This window comes from Homo sapiens, chromosome 8, assembly GCF_000001405.40.
Source record: "Homo sapiens chromosome 8, GRCh38.p14 Primary Assembly".
In the NCBI taxonomy this organism is placed as follows: domain Eukaryota; kingdom Metazoa; phylum Chordata; class Mammalia; order Primates; family Hominidae; genus Homo; species Homo sapiens.
In genome coordinates this window covers 31,125,773-31,145,991 of record NC_000008.11, presented here as the reverse complement: position 1 = coordinate 31,145,991, position 20,219 = coordinate 31,125,773, and the positions used below count along the sequence as shown (strand labels likewise).

General features: G+C 37.0%; 1 protein-coding gene and 1 pseudogene across 6 annotated transcripts in view; one reads left to right on the top strand and one right to left on the bottom strand.

Annotated features, from left to right (window-relative positions):
- The window catches only part of WRN (WRN RecQ like helicase), a 142,329-nt gene that overhangs the window by 30,147 nt on the left and 91,963 nt on the right, over nt 1-20,219 (bottom strand). For all 6 annotated transcript variants that reach the window (XR_949472.4, XR_949471.4, XR_949470.4 and 3 more), the window contains 5 exons: nt 13,486-13,627; nt 4,392-4,562; nt 4,217-4,311; nt 3,291-3,366; nt 2,369-2,442 (listed from right to left, as the gene is read on the bottom strand). Coding sequence is in view for 3 of the 6 variants with exons in the window: in NM_000553.6 (NP_000544.2) it covers nt 2,369-2,442; nt 3,291-3,366; nt 4,217-4,311; nt 4,392-4,562; nt 13,486-13,627 (558 nt within the window). In the remaining 3 variants the exon portion in view is untranslated. The remainder of the gene's footprint in view (nt 1-2,368; nt 2,443-3,290; nt 3,367-4,216; nt 4,312-4,391; nt 4,563-13,485; nt 13,628-20,219) is intronic.
- On the top strand, nt 14,190-14,453 carry SUMO2P16 (SUMO2 pseudogene 16; annotated as a pseudogene).

Genomic DNA, 20,219 nt, shown 5'->3' with positions numbered 1-20,219 from the left:
ATTTTAAGGAAAATTTAAATATATCTTAAAATAATATTTATTCATATATAAGCACCCTGCTCACTTCTGTACACTAAGCCCATATATTTAAATTAACTTCTGGACTACTCCACAGGTATCCCAAACTCAGTATGTCTATCACTAAACTCTTGATTTTAATAAGAATCGACTTCTTCCAAATTCCTATTAATATTGATATTCTGACCTACTCTCCTGAATCACAAATATTCTTCATGACTTCTAGAATAGTGAATATTTTCCAGAAGGTTTTCTGGAAAACCTCTTAAAAACCCATCTCTGATAATCACTATCTACAGAAGCTAAAGCATTACAAACTGTATTTCTTAAATAATAATACTTAAAAGGTTAATTTACTTCTTGATCCATGAGCTACAGAATGGATGTTAAGCGAGCAGGCATGAAAACAACGTTAGTCTCCTTGTATGTCTCCATTACGGCTCTTGGTGACTAAGTGTTGTCAATGAGCAATAACATTTTGAAAGGAATCTTTTGTCTAAGCAGGTTTCAACAATGGGCTTAAAGTATTCAGGAAACCATGCTGTAAACAGGTATCATCAAGACTTTGTTGTTACATGTATGTAGCAAAGGCAGAGTAGATATAGCATAATTCTTAAGGGCCCTAGGATTTTCAGAATGCTAATTGAGCACTGGCTTCAACTTAAAGTCACCAGCTGCATCAGCTTCTAACAAGAGAGTCAGCTTGTCCTTTGAAGCTTTGAAGCCAGGCATTGACTTCTCTCTAGCTATGAAAGTACTAGACAGCTTCTTCTTCTGGTAGAAAGCATTTGGTCTACATTCAAAGTCTGTTAGTGCAGGCACCTTCATCGATGATCTTAGCTAGATCTTCTGGATAACTTGCTACAGCTTCTATACCAGCACTTGCTGTTTCACTTTGCACTTTTATGTTATGGAGATGGCTTCTTTCCTTAAACCTCATGAACCAACCTCTGCTGGCCTCAAACTTTTATTCTGCAGCTTCCTCACCTCTCTCAGCTTTCAGAGAATTGAAGAGAGTTAGGGCTTTGCTCTGGATTAGGCTTTGGCTCAAGGGAATGTTGTGGCTGGTTTAATCTCCTATAAAGACCACTAAAACTTTCTCCATATCAGCAAAAAGCCTGCTTTGCTTTCTTATCATTGTTTTATTCACTGGGGTAGCATTTTTAATTTCCTTCAGGAACTTTTGCCTTTGCAAACTAACTGTTTGGTGCAAGGGGCCTAGCTTTTGGCCTATCTCAGCTTTCGACATGGCTTCCTCACTAAGCCTAATCACTTTTAGCTTTTGATTTAAATTGAGAGACATGTGAATCTTCCTTTCTCTTAAACACTTAGAGATGGGCCAGGCACAGCGGCTCACACCTGTAATCCCAGCACTTTGGGAGGCCAAGGCAGGCGGATCACCTGAGTTCAGGAGTTCAAGATCCACCTGACCAACACGGCAAAAACCCATCTCTACTAAAAATACAAAAATTAGCCAGACATGATCGGGGGGCGCCTGTAGTCCCAGCTACTCAGGAGGCTAAGACAGGAGAATCGCTTGAACCCGGGAGGCGAAGATTGCAGTGAGCCGAGATTGTGCTACTGCACTCCAGCCTGAACAACAGAGTGAGACTCAGTCTCGAAAAAAAAAAAAACACACTTAGAGACTATTATAGAGTTATTAATTGGCCTAATTTCAATTTTGTTGTATCTCAGGGAACAGGGAGACCCGAGGAGAGGGAGAGAAATGGTGAATGGCCAGTCAAGAACTACCAAAATATAACACAAAGACATGACAACAGAACATGCTATTGGAAAATGGGGCTAATATGACCTGTTTGACGCAGGGTTGCCACAAACCTTCAATTTATAAGAAATGCAATATCTGCAAGTCACAATAAAGCCAGGCACAATAAAACAAAGTATGCCTGTATATATTTCATACAAAGAAAAATAAATAGTGTCTTGATGCTAGAGGTAGACAAATATAGACTTGAAAGCCAGCTCGGCCATTAGCTGTATGCTCTTGAACAAGTTTGTCAACTTCTTAACCCTTGGTATCTTCAACTATAAAATGGCGATAAATAGTAACAGCTGTTAGACTCTTGTAAGAATTAAATGAGATATCACATATAAAGTTCTTAGCATTTAACATAATGCCTGACAAACAGTAATATCCAAGAAGTGTTAGCTATTAAATTAACATTATTCTTTTATAGCTCACTTTGATCATTCTAATACTGAAAAGCTTATGTTTTAAATTTAACTTCCTTTTGCCAATGAAATAGCCCAACATCTGACAGTTCTTTCTCTTTAGAAAAAAAAGTACTCATAAAGCAAGTATAGAACATAGAAATATGGAACTCTGTACCTTTTTTTAGAAATGTTACTCCCAGAAGAAATCTTATCACATGGTTTATAAGAATATAACTTCTCCAAGTTAGACTGCATTTAAACATATAAAGGTCCATTAAAAAAAGTTTCAAAAAACTTTTAAATGTGAAGAAAATAAGAAACAAAAATCTCAAAATCACAATTTTTTCTTTGCCTAATCAAGCTGTCAAATTAATCACCTGAAAATAACCTCCTAAATTATCAGTTTCTAAAGTTCTAAAGGTAGTTAGAAACGCATTCCAATGTCTTATCTCTCCCAAAACTACAGAAAATAAATCATCAAAAGAATGTTCTAAGATACAGCAAGTGCCAAAGTTATAAAAACAATTCATTTACATTCTGCATACTTCAATAAAGCAGAAAAAGTTCACCAGAAAATGTAATTCACTATGCTTGCCTATTATTCCAGTGTTCTAATTAGCTGAAGTCTGCCAGTGGATTAGTATTTAATCTGTAATAGTTATCTAAGATCTTAGGTCAAAAAAAGCAAGAAAGTACATAAGTGTGTGTGCATGTGTGTGTGTGTGAGAGAGAGAGAGAGAGAATGTGTGTGTGTGTGTGTGTGTGTGTGTGTGTCTTTAATAAGAACACTTAGGAATCAATTTTTTGATCAACTATAAGTATTATAACATGTGACTACTCTAAGCCAAATGAGTTAGCAGATAGGTTTAAAAGAACCCAAATTAATTCCTTTCTCAAATACCTCCAATTCTTTATTAGCCCCAGAAATTATATACAATAAATTTTAGTCTGTTCACATCACTTCCCTGGCCGAATTTTATGCTTTGTTATATATGCCATTTTCTCTTTAATTGGAAAGGAATTAAAATATAAAATTTTAAACAGAATTTGAATCAATAAAGAATGAAATAAATCAGAACAATTTCTTTAAAACAAACCTTCTTCTCTGTACTTAATTCAACTGGTACTTGATTATAACAATGCTCTTTGGTGCCCGAAGATACAGTTTTCGAACTAAAAAATAATAAAATTAAATTATTTCAAATGTTAAGATGCAAGTATCTAATTCATGAATCATGATACTCCATTCTCAGAAAGATGAATAAGATATTACCCTTTTAGAACTGGTGATTCTTAAAACTGATTTTTTTTTCTAGAAAAAGCTCTGGAAGCTTTAAGATGTTTGAAAGAAAAAACTCACAAGTGATCAATCACATGTAAAGGTACAAAAAAGTAAGCAACAAATGTATTCCCTTTCCACTTCTACACACCAGAAGTAAATATGATATATGGATTCCTCCGCATTGATTTCAGTACTGCTTCTTTAATCGATGAGAAAGAAGTTTTCTAAATACCATGGTCAGCTACTTCCCATCAACCAAGAAAATGTTCTGGCTGGGAGCGGTGGATCATGCCTGTAATCCCAGTAGTTTGGGAGGCTGAGGCAGGAGGATCACTTGAGCTCAGGAGTTCAAGACCAGCCTAGGAAGCACTAGAAGACCCTGTCTCTATACAAAAAATTAAAATATATTAGCTGGGCATAGTAGTGCATGTCTGTAGTCCCATCTACTCAGGTGGCTGAGGATTACTTGGGCCCACGAGATCGAGGCTGCAGTAAGCTATGATCGCACCACTGCACTCCAGCTTGAGCAACACAGAGAGACTCTGTCTCTTAAAAAAGAAAAGTGCTCTATGACTTATCCTTTCCTCACAGATCCCTTCCCCCAAACTGACTAAAATAGGCATACAAAAACAAACAGGTAATTCATTTTACTTGTGAGAGGCCTATAAACTGGTATAATTTGAATCACATAAATAGCAACAAAAAATGCAGAAGTTACAAGAAAAAAACTGAAAAATGAACCTAGGCAGAAGCAACTTCTTTGGACACAATTCTTCATTAGCTTGAAGGATGAGGCTCTGAGATTCTGTATTAGCTTTATGAAGCCAATTTCTACCCTATTAAAAGCAAAAAGGATCTTTTAATGTGGAGTGGGAAACAAAATTAAGTCAAACAGGCAGACTCCTACACCGTTTACCTTTTTCGTAAGGGCGCAAATCTTCATAAATTTGTTATACCGAGAAACTTCTACCAAGAATCCCTCAGTGATCAGCTGACGGGAAAAAGCCTTCCACCAACTCTCTGTTTGATCCTTGCCAGTGCCAAATAAACTGTGCCTGCGATATTGATCGGCAAGACGCTGAGAATTCTGAAATTAGGAATAAAATCAGTATCTAAAAATGCTAATTTAAACATATAGGTTAAGTAAAACACAGACTTGTCTATTGATTCTTTGGATTTACACTAAATTTCAACTTTAAAAACCTACAAAAATGTTATACCCATCGTGCTCATTCTGAACACTCCACTCACAAATAAATACATTATCAAAATAATGTTCCTTTTGTGTCTTAAATAATGGCAGGAAATTTCACATATAATTCAGATGCATTGCCCAGTGTATAGGTTTGGATATGTGTTTGGAACACTTAGCTTTTGTTATTTAGACCTCTTAGCAAACTCACATTATTGTTTGAAACAGTGATCAAAATCCTACAGCTCGAGACTAGAACCATGAGAATTATATAAAACGCAATGCGGCATGCCTGTAATCCTAGCACTTTGGGAGGCCAAGGCAGGCAGATCACGAGGTCAGGAGATTGAGACCATCATGGCTAACATGGTGAAACCCCGTCTCTACTAAAAATACAAAAAATTAGCCAGGTGTTGTGGCGGGCACCTGTGGTCCCAGCTGCTCGGGAGGCTGAGGCAGGAGGATGGCGTGAATCTGGGAGGCAGAGCTTGCAGTGAGCCGAGATCACGCCACTGCACTCCAGCCTGGGCAACAGAGCAAGACTCCATCTCAAAAAAACAAAACAAAACAAAACAAAAAAACGCAATGCGAACCAACAGCTATTCATCCATGAGTGCAGTGCAACAACTCACAGCTTCCAATGCATTTTTGTTTTTACTGTGCTTTTGCACATGATACACTGCAAAGTTTACTTAATCATTTACAATTTAGCTGCTTCACTGAGATATACCAGGAAAAGCAGGTGCATGCTAAACAGCTGATGGTTTTGAGGTATGTTTTCCTAAGTGAAGGGAGAATTCCTACGGGACGCTCTTCACAGCCATCAAGTTCTAGAAATATTAAGAAAGCTAGTCTGTCATATGCAATTCTGTTGTTCTCTAACAGAGAGGACTCTCCTGCTTTCACTTCATATAGAAATACTTTTTCATTCACTTTGTTCTCTTACTGCCTCTTTCATTCATCCTACACATTTAAATACTACTTTTAAATATATGTAGTATATGGGCCAGGCACAGTGGTTCATGCCTGTAATCCCAACACTTTGGGAGGATCACTTAAGCCCAGGAGTTCGAGACCATCCTGGGCAACACAGTGAGACCCACATCTCTACAAAAAATAAAAAATAAAAAATTAGCAAAGTGTGGTGGTGTGTACCTGTTGTTCCGCTACTCAGGAGGCTGAAGCAGGAGCTGAGGCAGGAGAATCGTTTGAGCTCAGGAGATCAAGACTGCAGTGAGCTATGATGACACCACTGCACTACAGACTGAGCAACAGAGTGAGACCCTGTCTCAAAAAAAAAAAAAAAAAAAAAAAAAAAAAACAAAGAAGTATACAAACATAGAGCTTTATGGCAAATTACTCTTATTTAATGTATTTGTGATGAATGTGGCCGATTGTAATTCAAGGGTCATTCTAACTTCCATCCACTATGAATTCTTCCACTGCAGAATCTGGGACAATACAAATACTAGTTCTCAAACTCCCTTTCAGCTAGGGTTCTGGGTTCTGTATATTTGCATGACAGGTATAAGCAGGAAGTGAGGCTAAGGCTACTCCTCTGCTGTTTCTGCTAGCATGCATGATTGTGGAGGTATTTAATTTTTATAAGAAAGTATTAGCAAAGAACCCAGCATACAATGATGAGCTTCGTAAGTATCAACAGGCATCCATTTTGTGGTTACAAATTACAGCAGGTTCACGTTGGTTTGCAGAGCATGCAAAGGTAGAAGCTTCCTGATTATTACAGCTTCCTACTCAATGTAGTCTGGGGTTAGGTGCTATAGTGGAAGCTTCCCAAGTTGACAGATGGCTTCTTGATCACAGAAGAGGCCACAGCTCCCTTGGTGAACTATTTTGCAGTGGAACCTTGTCAACAATATTATAAGCCATTTAATACCTAGTAATAAATACCTTTCTACTTAAATTCACTAGAATGATTATGAGCAATTTGAATTTCTATATAAAAATGCAGTATAAAATTTTAGAAAACGGTAGATTATAACTCAATATTTTTACATTTCATATATATCCTAATGAAGGTTTAATAATCAATTAAAAATCCAGGGATCAAAATTAAAAGAATATATAAAATGAGTTGCAGCAAACTTAACTAAGGCAACTATAGGGCTCTCTATTACAAACGTAATGGTTTTATTGAATTGATGAAAACATTATGATTACAGGTTTACCTTTTGGAATGTTAAAAATGCAAATACAAGCCTTCTAAAACAGAACAAGAACGACATACATAAATGTAAAGATACATTGTTTTAATATTTGAGAATCTTCCCCAGTATATGACTTGAAAACAAAAATAAATCACATCATAAATATTAATATGCTTATGTCATTTACTACTATTTCCAAGGTGTAGATTTGCCAAAAAATAGGCTAAGCAAGGGTGATCTTTCACAAAAAGGAAGCTAGGATGAAATTAGGTAAAGCAGGGTAAGTTCCCACCAGAGACAAACAGAGCAGTGCCTATACATTGGACTTAAAACATAGGCTTCTGATAGGTATAGTTAAGAGAATCTGTACCATGCTCTCCTAAATCTTAACAATAAAATAGAATAGAATTTTTTAATAGCTAAGGAATGAATTTTGGTGTCCTGATGATTATATTTATTAAAATATGATCAGAACAAGATTTAGAGAAATATAAACACCCAGGTACAATGTGGCACCTTCTACCTTGTTAACAAGTCCTGTCTGTGCTAACCCTGACTTAGGGTTGATTTGAGTAGAATGTTTAAAAGTCAAACATATGTAGCATAAACAAGTCTAGAGATCGAATGTACAACATGAGAATTACAATTAATACAACTGAACTGTATTTGGGATTCCTGCTAAATGAGTGGATTTCAGCTGCTTTTGCCACAAAAACAAAAAAATGGTTAACAATATAAGATGATGGATATGTTAATTAGTTTCATTATAGTAATCATTTTACTATAGGTAACCCATAACATCAAATTGTATACTTTAAATATACATAATATAATTTATTTTTGTAAGTAAAATAAGATAAAACATCATAGAATTTCAGAGCTGGAGGGAATGCTGGAGCTCTTTGATTTATCTTAGTCATTTTTACCCATATTGTTAACAAATTATCAGAGGTTCAAAGATGTTAAATGGTAGCCTAATGTGTCACTGTGTAGCCGTACTAAAGCTAGGACTAGAACACAGGCCTCCAGATAACTAGTTCTAATTTTTTTTTTTGGAGACAGGGTCTCTCTTTGTCACCCAAGCTGGAGTGCAGAGGTGTCATCATAGCTCACTGTAGCCTCAATCTCCTGGACTCAAGGATCCTCCCACCTCAGCGTCCCAAGCAGCTGAGACTACAGGTGTATTCCACCATGCCCGCTAATATTTTTAAAACTTTTTTTGTAGAGGTAGGGTCTCGCTATGTTGCCTAGACTGGTCTTGAACTCCTGGGGTTGAGAGATCCTCGTGCCTCGGTCTCCCAAAGTGCTGGGATTACAGGCATAAATGCTAATTTTTTCTTATTATACCACACGCATGCACAAGCACTCACACGCACCCCCTCCACACACACACCCAATATACATACATGTGGGGGCTCTTAAGCTACATTACCTGAGTTCACGTCATAGCTCTGGCAAGTTACTTATCTTCTATTTCCTCATCTAATATGCAGGTATATTCATTTTTATCTCTTGAGGATGCTGTGAAGATTAAGTCCATAACCAGGACAGAGCCTGGCTCTGTAATATTAATCTGCTTTTTATTAGTTAACAGCTGATCCTTTAACTCAACCTGAATTTCTTAATCTAAGAGTAAAAAGCATGACTTGGTATCTAGTTGGCTTTCCTTCCCTGGAACACTTGTTAATGGTACTCTACATCTGCTAGGGGTCACCTTGGTAGTAGTAGATTCTATTGCTTGCAAACTAATAACTTCAAAGGTATTAAGTTCCCTAACTAGAATCACTAGCTCTCTAAACACTAAAAATTACACTTCTGGCTTTTCCTTTCATAAGCATAAAAAAACCATTTATTAGTATGAAACAATGAGGTTTTATCTGATCAGTAGGGATTAACTGTCCCTTCCCCTCATGATCAATAACTATAAAAACTGTGTACTATTTGAATAAATTTACATTGTCTTGTTTCCATGGCAATCACCATGAAGAGGATGATATACCTTTGCTTTAAAGCAGAGTATCTTTGTTTTAAAGGAATCATATTCCCTTTTCAACTAGGAATCCAAACTAAAACAAGTAACATTAAAAAAAAAAAAAAACAGAATTAAAACAGAGTACAGTAAGAAATTTCAACAACAAATGCTTAATGATTTCTCACTCTGAACAAGGCCTCCTCTGTTAATTGTTTAAGTGTTTAGTTAATTTTGTAGGTTGTCCACTGATAAGAGTAAAAACTGCCTATGATGAAAAAGCTGCTATACAGAACATAGCTTACGGATTTGGGCATTCATTCATTCATTCATTCATTCATTCATTCATTCGAGACAGGGTATTGCTCTGTCACCCAGGCTGGAGTGCAGTGGTGTAATCATGGCTCACTGCAGTCCTGAATTCCTAGATTCAATCGATCCTCCCACCTCAACCTCCCACAAGGAGGACTACACGCACACACATCACCACTCAGCTAATTTTTAAATTTTTTTTTATAGAGACGGAGTCTCGCTATGTTGCCCAGGCTCATCTTGAACTCCTGGTCTCGAGCAATCCCCCCACCTCGGCTTCCCAAAAGTGCTGAAATTACAGGTGTGAGCTACCATGTCCATTGGGCATAAAAATACAAATTTAAAACTGTATGTTACAGCACAATAAATAGAAAAGACACTAGACTAGCAGGCAGGAAATCCATTTGCTCATCCTGACTCTGGCACAAAGTAACAGTATGACCTAGGACAGGTCATTCAGCTTTCAGTTTAACTCAATCTCAACTACAGTAAAATAAGGCAATAGGGTTAAATAGTCTTTTTACCAGTGTTAGCTCTAAGCAGGTATACTTCTGTGGGATGCCATCTCAAAAGAGAAATTTTCAGGCCGGCACAGTGGCTCATGCCTGTAATGCCAATATCTTGGGAAGCCAAGGTGGGCGGATCACTTGAGGTCAGGGGTTCAAGACCAGCCTGGGAAACATAGGGAGACCCTGTCTCTACAAAAAAGTTAGCTGGGCATGGTGGCATGCACCTGTAGTGCCACATACTCAGGAAGCCAAGGAAGTAGGATCGCTTGAACTGGAAACTTTGAGGCTGCTGTGACCTATGATCATGCCACTGTACTCCAGAGCCTGGGTGACATATCACATTCTTTCCCTTTATAAACCAGGTGGAAAAATAAGGGTCACCAAAACTGACATATCATGGAATGTGGAAATCTAACTGATCGGCTAAGTGTTAGAATAAAGAGAACTGACTGGCCAGGGTACATGACCCAACGTATCAGTTTCCGGTAAAAGCAAAGTCTTTACAACGGTATCTGACAGAGAAAAAAAGAAAAAAGAAAAAGAAGAGAGAAGAGAAGAGAAGAGAGAAGAAAAGACTTGCCACTTCTCCATATTAACTTCTTTAAAAGTCACAGTTGCTTTTTGTACTGTGAATGCCATTCTTCTCCACCATTCTTCCCTCATTCCTTCTCTGAGTGAATGTCCAAATCCACAGTATCACACCAAAATCTACTATATATTCCACAAAAATAGGAAGTTCTAGTGATACCTTCACAAAGACTCCTCTAATTTCTCTAAACACTCTCTCTCTTCAGAACTTCAACAGCATTTATATGTATTCATACGTCCCTTATCTAATTCTCTGCTACATTACACTCATTTCTTCTTAAGTAACATCTTCCATAATAGATGATGCGTCTCATCTAATTTAGCTTTGAATCCCCCCACAAAATGTAATACAGTGCCTTATACAAAAATACATGTTTAATAACTAGTGGAAAAAATAGCCATAAACTCCAACTCAAGAAATTTTAAACTCAGCCTGGCACAGTGACTCTCGGTGCTTTGGGAGGCCAAGGGTGGTGGGTATCACCTGAGAGCCCTGGAGTTTGAGACAGGCAGGGCAACATGGGGAGACCCCATACCTACAAAAAAATTAAAAAATAAAAAAAATAGCTGGGTGGGGTGGCACCTGTGGTCCCAGCTACTCTGGAGGCTGAGGTGGGAGGATTGCTTGAACCCAGGAGTTCAAGGCTGCATCAAGCTATGATCACACCACTGCATTCCAGCCTGGGCAACTCCTAAGTTCTGAAACTACAAAAAGCCCACAGCTATTGTTAAAAACACTTTAACTTTTTTTGGTGGGGGGGCTTGGGGGAGGACGGGGGTGCTTTTTCCCAGTCCCTACAGGCCAAAGAAGCTCACAGCTGCAACTTTAGAGCTTCAGAAAGTCATTGTGAACTATAATTCTATGTGCAAAATAAAACCAAAAGATGAAGTAGTGATAATTATCTCTAGGAATATATTTCATTCAGATGAAACAGTTTGTCTAGAAAACAGGATGGATAATCCTCTCCCGTTAGATAGTTTGAAAATTACAAGAGTGATTAAAACTACCAATAGTTTCAACAAATGTCTATAGTCAAATCATGTATTATCAAAACTACCGTCTAATTCTAGTGCCACGACAAGATTTGGCATTCTGCTAACGTGATCAGAAGAGAAGTTTCACTTAATCTGTCAGTTATGTAAATTAATGAGTGTGTTTTTATTTTCTAATCTATAAAATTAAGGTCATTGCATATCTTATCACATATTTATACAGAATGTTTAAAGATTTTTATACAGTAAGTTGTTCAGACAGCTAAAACGAAGTTCCTTAAGTAATAACTTCACTGTTTAATTTCTAATCAAATTTGCAGCTTCAAAACAAAATTTTAAACTCTATTCACAAACTCCTAGATAGGCTACATAACTGTTTATACTATTCAGAAAAATCTTGTGTAAGACAGAATTATATGCTGCTACTATGTTATATATTTATATACATTATCTCTTTAACTAAACTCCAATTATTCCCAGTTTAAAATGTTTATTTTACAGCTCAAAATCATGTACAAAGATATTAATTTTTCCTAAGTTGGTTAAAGGGAACATTTCACTAAATTCTCAAAGGAATTATAACGATAATTTTAAAAACAATATCCCAGGATACCAAGATCACTGAAATGGGGAGAAAAAAAAACAATGCCTTATTTTCATTGCATTTAGTGTCTACAGATTTTCATTAAGTGGTACTTTTAGAAAAGTTTTATCTAGCAAGGGTAGTGTAATATTTCACAAAGGATAGACTTCTTAATTTGAGGACTCCCAGAAGAGACTGTCAGTGTAAGTGGTCTGATTTGGTTTTTTAATAGGTGAAATCTGATCTCTCTTGTGGCCAGTTCAAGTTTGTCAAGGAGCCTACTTAGACTTATTTGTTGATACTGGATATGGCTGGATTACACCAAATTAAAACAAGAATAATTTTTATAAATTATACATTCAACTGAGATACACAGGTTCTGAAGGTGATAGAGACAGAATACATTTTCACAGATCTCAATTATATTTAAGCTGTCCCTTACAACTAAAATTCTTGTTATAAAAAATACAGTTTCACTCACAGCACCTAAAATAGTCCTTAGGCAACACTTCTACTATTAAATTTCTAATCCAACTTGTGATTTACAAACAAAATTTTAAACTCCATTTAGAATCTAAAAACATCAGTACATGAAAAATCAACAGAAGTTTTCAATATATTTCATTAAAAATATTTCACAACTAATTTAATAAATATGTTTCTTTTTTTTTTTTTATTGAGACAGAATCTTGCTCTGTCGCGCAGGCTGGAGTGCAGTGGCACAATCTCAGCTCACTGCAAGCTCCGCCTCCCACGTTCACGCCATTCTCCTGCCTCAGCCTCCAAAATGTTCCTTTCTAAAAATACAAACTCAGAAAGTATTTACATGAAGCATTCGAGTATTTCACAAATAAATGCTTACCTATTCTACATTCAATACGAGAATTTTAATCTCTATTTTAAAGTACATTTTTAATAAATATGCATATTTGCAAAGTATCCTATCTCTTGCTCTTGATTTATTCAGCCATTATCAGTGTGTAATACTTAGCTTTGCTTTATAGACTTCTAAATCAGGGGAAAAAATCATATAAAGGAAAGGACTACAGAACAAGCTCTTGGACTGCAACGGTCCTATCTTATTCACATTTGTACCCGTGGTTGTTTAGAAGAATACTGGAACATCAATCACTCCAAAAAAAAGTAACTGAATTTAATTGATTATTTATTCATTAGTAAAGGCAAAAACCACAATTTTCTTATAACTTTAAATACTTCTGATAGGAAACAGAAGGAAAAATAAATATGTCCCAAATATTGTTACTGAAATTAGACATTTAAAAAATAATCCCTATAACTAAAGTTTTCCTTGAAGAATTTAATGGTTTCCTGGACAAAAGGACAATTTTGTTCTACCTGTCCCTTGATACAATGAAAGTTAACTTTTCCTAATTATCCTAAGCAAGACTAGTCTAGGGATTCACCCAAATGCAATGTGATAAATTAACACAATGCTTCCAGACTGAGCTGCAGAGCTGAACATCGGCTTGAACATGAAAACAGCAGAAGATGCCATACACACGGGTTTTATCCAAAGTAATGAATGTAGTGTTTAACTGGAACTTAGTAAGACTCTATGAGTTCCTAGTCACCCATCTGAAGTCAAAGCTACAATCATAATACTGCAAACCTCTGAAGAAAAGTGTAATAGAAGTAAAAGAAGATCTATGAAGGGAATTCACAGATATATACTTACAGATCCTCGGAGAAATAAAATTGGAAGCCCAATTCCAAATTTTTCGCCTAAGATGTCCACAGCAGACAAAAGCTTAAATGCTTGTGGACCAAAGTCCCAGGATGTATCCTCTGAGTCATCCATGGAATAGCAATGATCCAATCTAAATAAAAATAATAACATTTGAAGAAAGCTTAGCAAAGGCATGTATCTTTAGAAATCAAAAGATTTAGCATAACAATTAGCCAAGTAAAAAATATCTCAAATGTGCCAACTGCTTCAGAAGCTATGAATAAAGTTCATTATACCCGAGTATGTAAAGTAGCTAAAATATGAAAATAAACTATTGTAGCGTAACAGATATGTTACGCTGATGGTTCTCAATCCTAGTGTCCTAGAAGCAAGTTTCATGGGAGGCACCTCAGACCACAGAAAGGAATAATGTCAATAATAGGACGAGCAAGCAGAGTTGCCATATTTATAGCTAGAACAGCTCCACTTACTTGACCAATTATATAAATATTGGACTTTAGTGTTAAAGGTGTGTTGCAAAAAAAAAAAAAAAAAAAGCCTTTCAGCTTAGAAAAAACACATCTCAGTTGCTGCCTCTTTCTTCTGCCACTCCTGGTCCTGTTTAGGGGCTCACTCATTCGGGGCAGACCTGGTACCTCTTTTGTGAAGCAGCAGCTGAGGAGACTGCCACACTCACCAGGGTCCACAAAAAGCCCAAGGAAAGTCAAGACTGAGAACAAGGATAATGTTCATTTGAAGGTTCATCTTAAACTGTGGTGCAGTTTAAGATGAACAGCCACGCACCACACCGCTTAGTAAACCAATGAAAGCCTATTGTAAGGGGCACGGTTTGCCAATGAGGCAGATCAGGTTTCAATTTGACAGGCAGCCAATCAATGAACCAGACACATCTGCACATTTGGAAGTGAGGCTTAAGACAAAACTGATGTGTTCCAGCAGCAGACATGGAGATGTCTACTAAAAGGGGGACCTGTTATTTTACTGCAGAACTCTGCTCTTCCAGACCAAGAAGACAGTCTCAATTAGAAAGCTACAATTTGGCCAGGCGCAGTGGCTCACGCCTGTAATCCCAGCACTTTGGGAGGCTGAGGCGGGTGGATCACTTGAAGTCAGGCATTCAAGACCAGCCTGGCCAACATGGTGAAAACCCATCTCTACTAAAAATACAAAAATTAGCCAGGCATGGTGGCATGCACCTGTAATCCCAGCTACTCAGAAGGCTGAGGCAGGAGAATGGCTTGAATCTGAGAGGCGGAGGTTGCAGTGAGCCAAGATTGGGCCACCACTACACTCCAGCCTGGGTGACAAGAGCAAAACTCTGTCTCAAAAAAAAAGAAAGTTGCAATTTGGTTCCACCACATCCTGACTACATAGTTTTCTCTATTCTTTCACCTTCCCCTTCCTACTCTTTTACTGCACATAAAGTAACTGGTGTATGTCCACAAGCATATTGCTTTTCTTTTCTTTCTTTTTTTAACTAAATGGCCAATAATATGTTTAGATTGACTTCGATGGAGATGGGGTGGGCAAAAGAAGCATTGGTTCTGTGAAAAGACTCCCTTTGTCCCCTAGTGGCCTGCTCATTCAGCTCTTATCTTTATACTCCAGGATGTTATTTTGCTGTCATAGTTTTAGCAAAAAACAATATAAAAATCCTTGCATACCTTGTTCAATTAGAGAATTTTAATGTTTTTCATTTATCATTGTAAAACCAAGGACAATTTTACAACTGTTTTTATGTAGCTGTTACTTGTGGGGCAATCTGTCTTTAAGTAGAAATAAATTACTCTAGTAATAATAACTCCAAGATAGTCTTCCCTTAGTCAAGTGTCTTGCTTAAATAAACTTCTTCTTTAAAATGAAAAAAAAAAAAAAACCCAAATCCTATGCTATAAATTGTTAAACGCTAACGACTGTAAAATATGACAAAAAGATTATAAACCTTTCATTTAAATAGATTTAGAAGTTAAATTCCTAAGTCACCCTTTGGGTAGATCTGAAACTATCATAAATTCAAATGAGAATTATTTAAGTAGGTTGAGAACAAAAGGACTCATTAAAGAAAATCTACTATAGAGTTCAACTACCTAATTCAATTGCTTTCCTTAGAGTAAGTATCTTTGAAATAGCAATAAGAATGCATTCAATATTCCAGATATAATAATGTTTGGGGGAAAAAAACTATGCTTAGGTTTATTCTCCTAATCTCTTTAGTGAGATGCTTAGCTGATTAATTTTCTTTTCTATTATGAGTATTTCAAGCTAATAAACTCCCACAAAGTACTATTCAATGTTGCCTCTTACCAGTTTTTTTTGTTGTTGTTATTAAAATTTTGTAGAGATGCGGTCTCGTTATGTTGCCCAGACTGGTCTTGAATCCTGGCCTCAACTGATCCTCTCTCCTCAGTCTCCCAAAGAGCTAGAATGACAGGTGTGAGCCACTGGGCCCTCTTACTAGTTTTTTTTTTTGTTTTGTTTTGTTTTTTTTTTGAGACAAGAGTGTCGCTCTGTCGCCAGGCTGGAGTGCAGTGGCCCAATCTCGGCTCACGGCAACCTCCGCCTCCCAGGTTCAAGCGATTCTCCTGCCTCAGCCTCCCAAGTAGCTGGGACTACAGGCGCGTGCCACCACGCCCAGCTGATTTTTGTATTTTTAGTAGAGACGGGGTTTCACCATGTTGGCCAGGATGGTTTCAATCTCTTGACCTCGTGATCCCCCAGCCTCGGCCTCCCAAAGTGCTGGGATTACAGGCGTGAGCCAACGCACCCAGCCTCTTACCAGTTTTAATGTATATCATTGTAACTATCCCTAAGTTCTAAAAATGTTAATGCATATTAATGTAGTTATCTGTAGGTTTAAAATTTTTTTTAATTTCCAGTTTGATTTTTTCTTTGAATATGAATTATTTAAGTGTTATTTTTAATTTCCAAATGCATGAGGATTTTGTTGTTTATCTGCTTATTTACTTCTAACTCAAGTGCATTATGGTCAGAAAATGTGGTGAGAAAACTTCCAAATTCATTGAAGAATTTTGAGACAAGCTAGTCTAGTACAGGGTCAGAAAACACTTTCTATAAAGGACCAGATAGTAAGTATTTCAGGCTTTATAGGCCATGATAGGCTTTGCAGCCAACTACTTAACTCAGGCAGCCCTACATAACACATAAACAAAAGGCATGGCTGTGTTCTGAGAAAACTTTATTTACAAAAACATTAGTCAAGCGTGATGGCTCATGCCTATAATCCCAGCACTTTAGGAGGCTGAAGTAGGAGGACTGATTGAGGCAAGGAGTTTGAAAACCAGCCTGGGCAACATACTGAGACTGTCTCTACCAAAAAAAAATTTGTTTTAATTAACTGGGTCTGGTAGTGCATGCCTGTAGCTACTTGGGAAGCTGAGGTGAGGCAAGAGAATTGCTTGAGCCCAGGAATTTGAGGTTACAGTGAGCTATGATCATACCACTGCTCTCCAGCCTGTGTGACAGCCTGTAGTGACCCTATGTCAAAAAAATAAAAAAAAATAAAACAGCATGCAGATTTGGCCTACAGGCCATAGTTTGCCAACCCATGCTCTAATACATAGTTTTTTTGTTTTTGTTTTTTAGTTTTTTTGTTTGTTCAGTTGGTTGGTTTTTTTTGAGACAGAGTCTCGCTCTGTTGCCCAGGCTGGAGTGCAGTGGCGCGATCTCGGCTCACTGCAAGCTCCGCCTCCTGGGTTCACACCATTCTCCTGCCTCAGCCTCCCGAGTAGCTGGGACTACAGGCACTCGCCACCACATCCGGCTAATTTTTTGTATTTTTAGTAGAGACGGCGTTTCATCATGTTAGCCAGGATGGTCTCGATCTCCTGACCTCGGGATCCACCCGCCTCGGCCTCCCAAAGTGCTGGGATTACAGGCATGAGCCACTGCACCCGGCCCAATACATAGTTTTTAGAAATATTCCATGTATGTTTGAGGAGTGAAGTCTTTCAGTGCTTCTCAATCAGTGTGCTACAAACAAGTGAGTTCTAAGAGTGCTGAAAGGTTAATCACTCCAGATCTTAGGGTTTTGGACAGAAACTGAACTCTGACAATTAGCCCAGTGTGTTATATACACATATCATTTGCTATGTGGGTCATGAAGTAAAAATACTTGAGATACACTGCTATAGTTGCTTGCTCTAGGGCTCCATATACTATGTATCTGATAAATCAGTATACTATGTATACTGATAAATAGTAATAAGCAAACTTATTACTATGTTGACCAAATTTTCTACAGTGTACTAATTTTTGGATTGTTTACCCTACCAATAACTTAAAATTATATCAAATTCTCCCACTTTGATGGTGGATTTGTTGATTTCTCCACCTCTTCTGTCGGCTTTGTGCTTTATGTATTTGCTGGATTTTTAAGTTTGTTTTTTTTTTTAAATAGAGATGGGGTCTTGCTATGTTGCCCAGGCTGTTCTCAAAGTCTTGGGTTCAAGCAATTCTCTTGCCTCGGCCTTCCAAAGGACTGGGACTACAGGTGTGAGCCACCATGCCCAGACTAGTTTTTATCATTATTATTATTTTTTTTATGTGAGACAGAGTCTTACTCTGATGCCCAGCCTGGAGTGTAGTGGTGCCATCATGGCTCACTGCAACTGCAGTCTCAACCTTCCAGGCTCAAGCGATCTTTCCACCTTAGCCTCCAGAGTAGCTGGGACTAGAGGCACATAATGCTATGCCTAGCTAATTTTTTTTATTTATTTTTTATTTTTGTAGAGACACAGTCTCGGTTTTTTGCCCAGACTGGTCTTAAAAATCCTGGTCTCAAGTGATCCTCCCACCTCAGCCTCCCAAAGTGCTAATACTACAAGTGTGAGCCACCGCACCAGCAAGTTACTGTTTGTTGGTTGTATTTTTTTTGTTTTTGTTTTTTTTTAAAGGTGCATAAAACAATTCTGTCTTCTTAGTGAAGAAGTATTTGTCATTACACAGAGAACAACTCCATCCCTAATAATGCTTCTTTTGTCTTACAGTAACGCAGCTATTGAACTTAGGTACGTAGCTAACCCACCAGGTAAATAATTTGTTTTTATTTTATTTTTTCAATTAACATAGGCAAATTGGTTGTATGTATGTGTAAAGTTCTACACATTTTAAGATATCCATAGATTCATCTAACTCCCATCACAATCAGGGCACGATAAATCTATCACTCCAAAATACTGCCTTGTACTATCCTTTGGAATCATACCTTCTCCCTCCCCCAATCTCTAATAACCACTGATCTTTTCTTCATCCCTCTAGTATAGTTTTATGTTTCAAAGACTATTATATAAATGGAATCATGCTATAGAATTGGTATTATTTTGTCTTCTAAATGTTTGGTAGAATTTGTCATTGAAATTCTTTGGGCTAGGGGATTTTATTTTCAGAGATTTTTAACATAGAATTCAATCCCTCTAATGGTTGTAACACTATGCAGGTTATCTAATTCACTGTAAGTTTAATTAGCTTGAGATTATCAAGAAATTGATCCATTTCATCTAAATTATTAAAGTTATGTTCTGAGTTGTTCATAGTGTTCCCTTATCATCCCTAGTAATACCTGGGAGGTCTGTAGTGAAATTCCCTCTTTCATTCCTGGTATTGGTCTTCTGTGTCTTTTCTCTTTCCGTCAGTCTTGTTAGAAGTTTATATCAATTTTGTTGATCTTTATACAGAATGAGCTTTTGAGTTGATTTTCTCTATTGTTTTCCCATTTTCTATTCACTGACAATGAATGCTGCATGCTGCTTTGTTTTTAAATTTTTTTGACATAGGGTCTCACTCTGTCACCCAGGCTGGACAGCAGTGGTATGACCATAGCTTTTCTATTCATTGACTTATGTTCTTTGTTATTTCCTTATGTTTACTTCATTTTGATTTATTTTGCTCTTATTTGCTTGTTGCTTAAGATGTAAGCTTAGGTACTGATTTGAGACCTTTCTTCTTTTATTACATAGGTATTTAATGCTATAAATTTCCTTCTCAGTATTGCATTAGCTGCATCTCACACATTTTGTATTTTCATTTCATTCAGTTCAAAACATTTTCTGATTTGCCTTGAGACTTCCTCTTTGACTCATGGATTTATTTATAAGTGTGTTATTTAATTTCTAAGGTTTAGAGACTTTTCTGTTATCTTTCTGTTATTGTTTTCTAGTTTAATTCCATTCTAGTCAAAAAATATACAAATACAAGATTCTTAAATTTGTTAAGGTTTGTTTTATGACTCTGAATATGATCCATGTTCATGAATACTGCATCTGCACTTGAATGTGTACTCTACTGTTGTTGGGTAGAATGTTCTAAAAAGGTCAATGAGATCCAGCATGCTGATAATCCTGTTCATTTCTTCTGTCTTCTTACTGATTTTTTGGTCTGTCAGTTTTATTGATTATTGAGAGATGCTGGAAGTCACCAAATGTAACTGTAGATTTCTCTATTTCTCCTTTCAGTTCTGTCAGTCTTTTTGTTAAGTAGATATATATATATATATATATATATATATTTAGGATGATGTCTTCTTGGTTGTGATGATTAATATTATGCATCAACTTGGCTAGCCTATGATGCTCAGTTGTTTGGTCAAACACTAATCTAGATGTTGCTGTAAAATATTTTGTAGACGTGATTAACATTTATAATCAGTTGACTTTAAGTAAAGGAGATTATTGTCAATAATGTGGGTGGGCCTCATCCACTCAGTG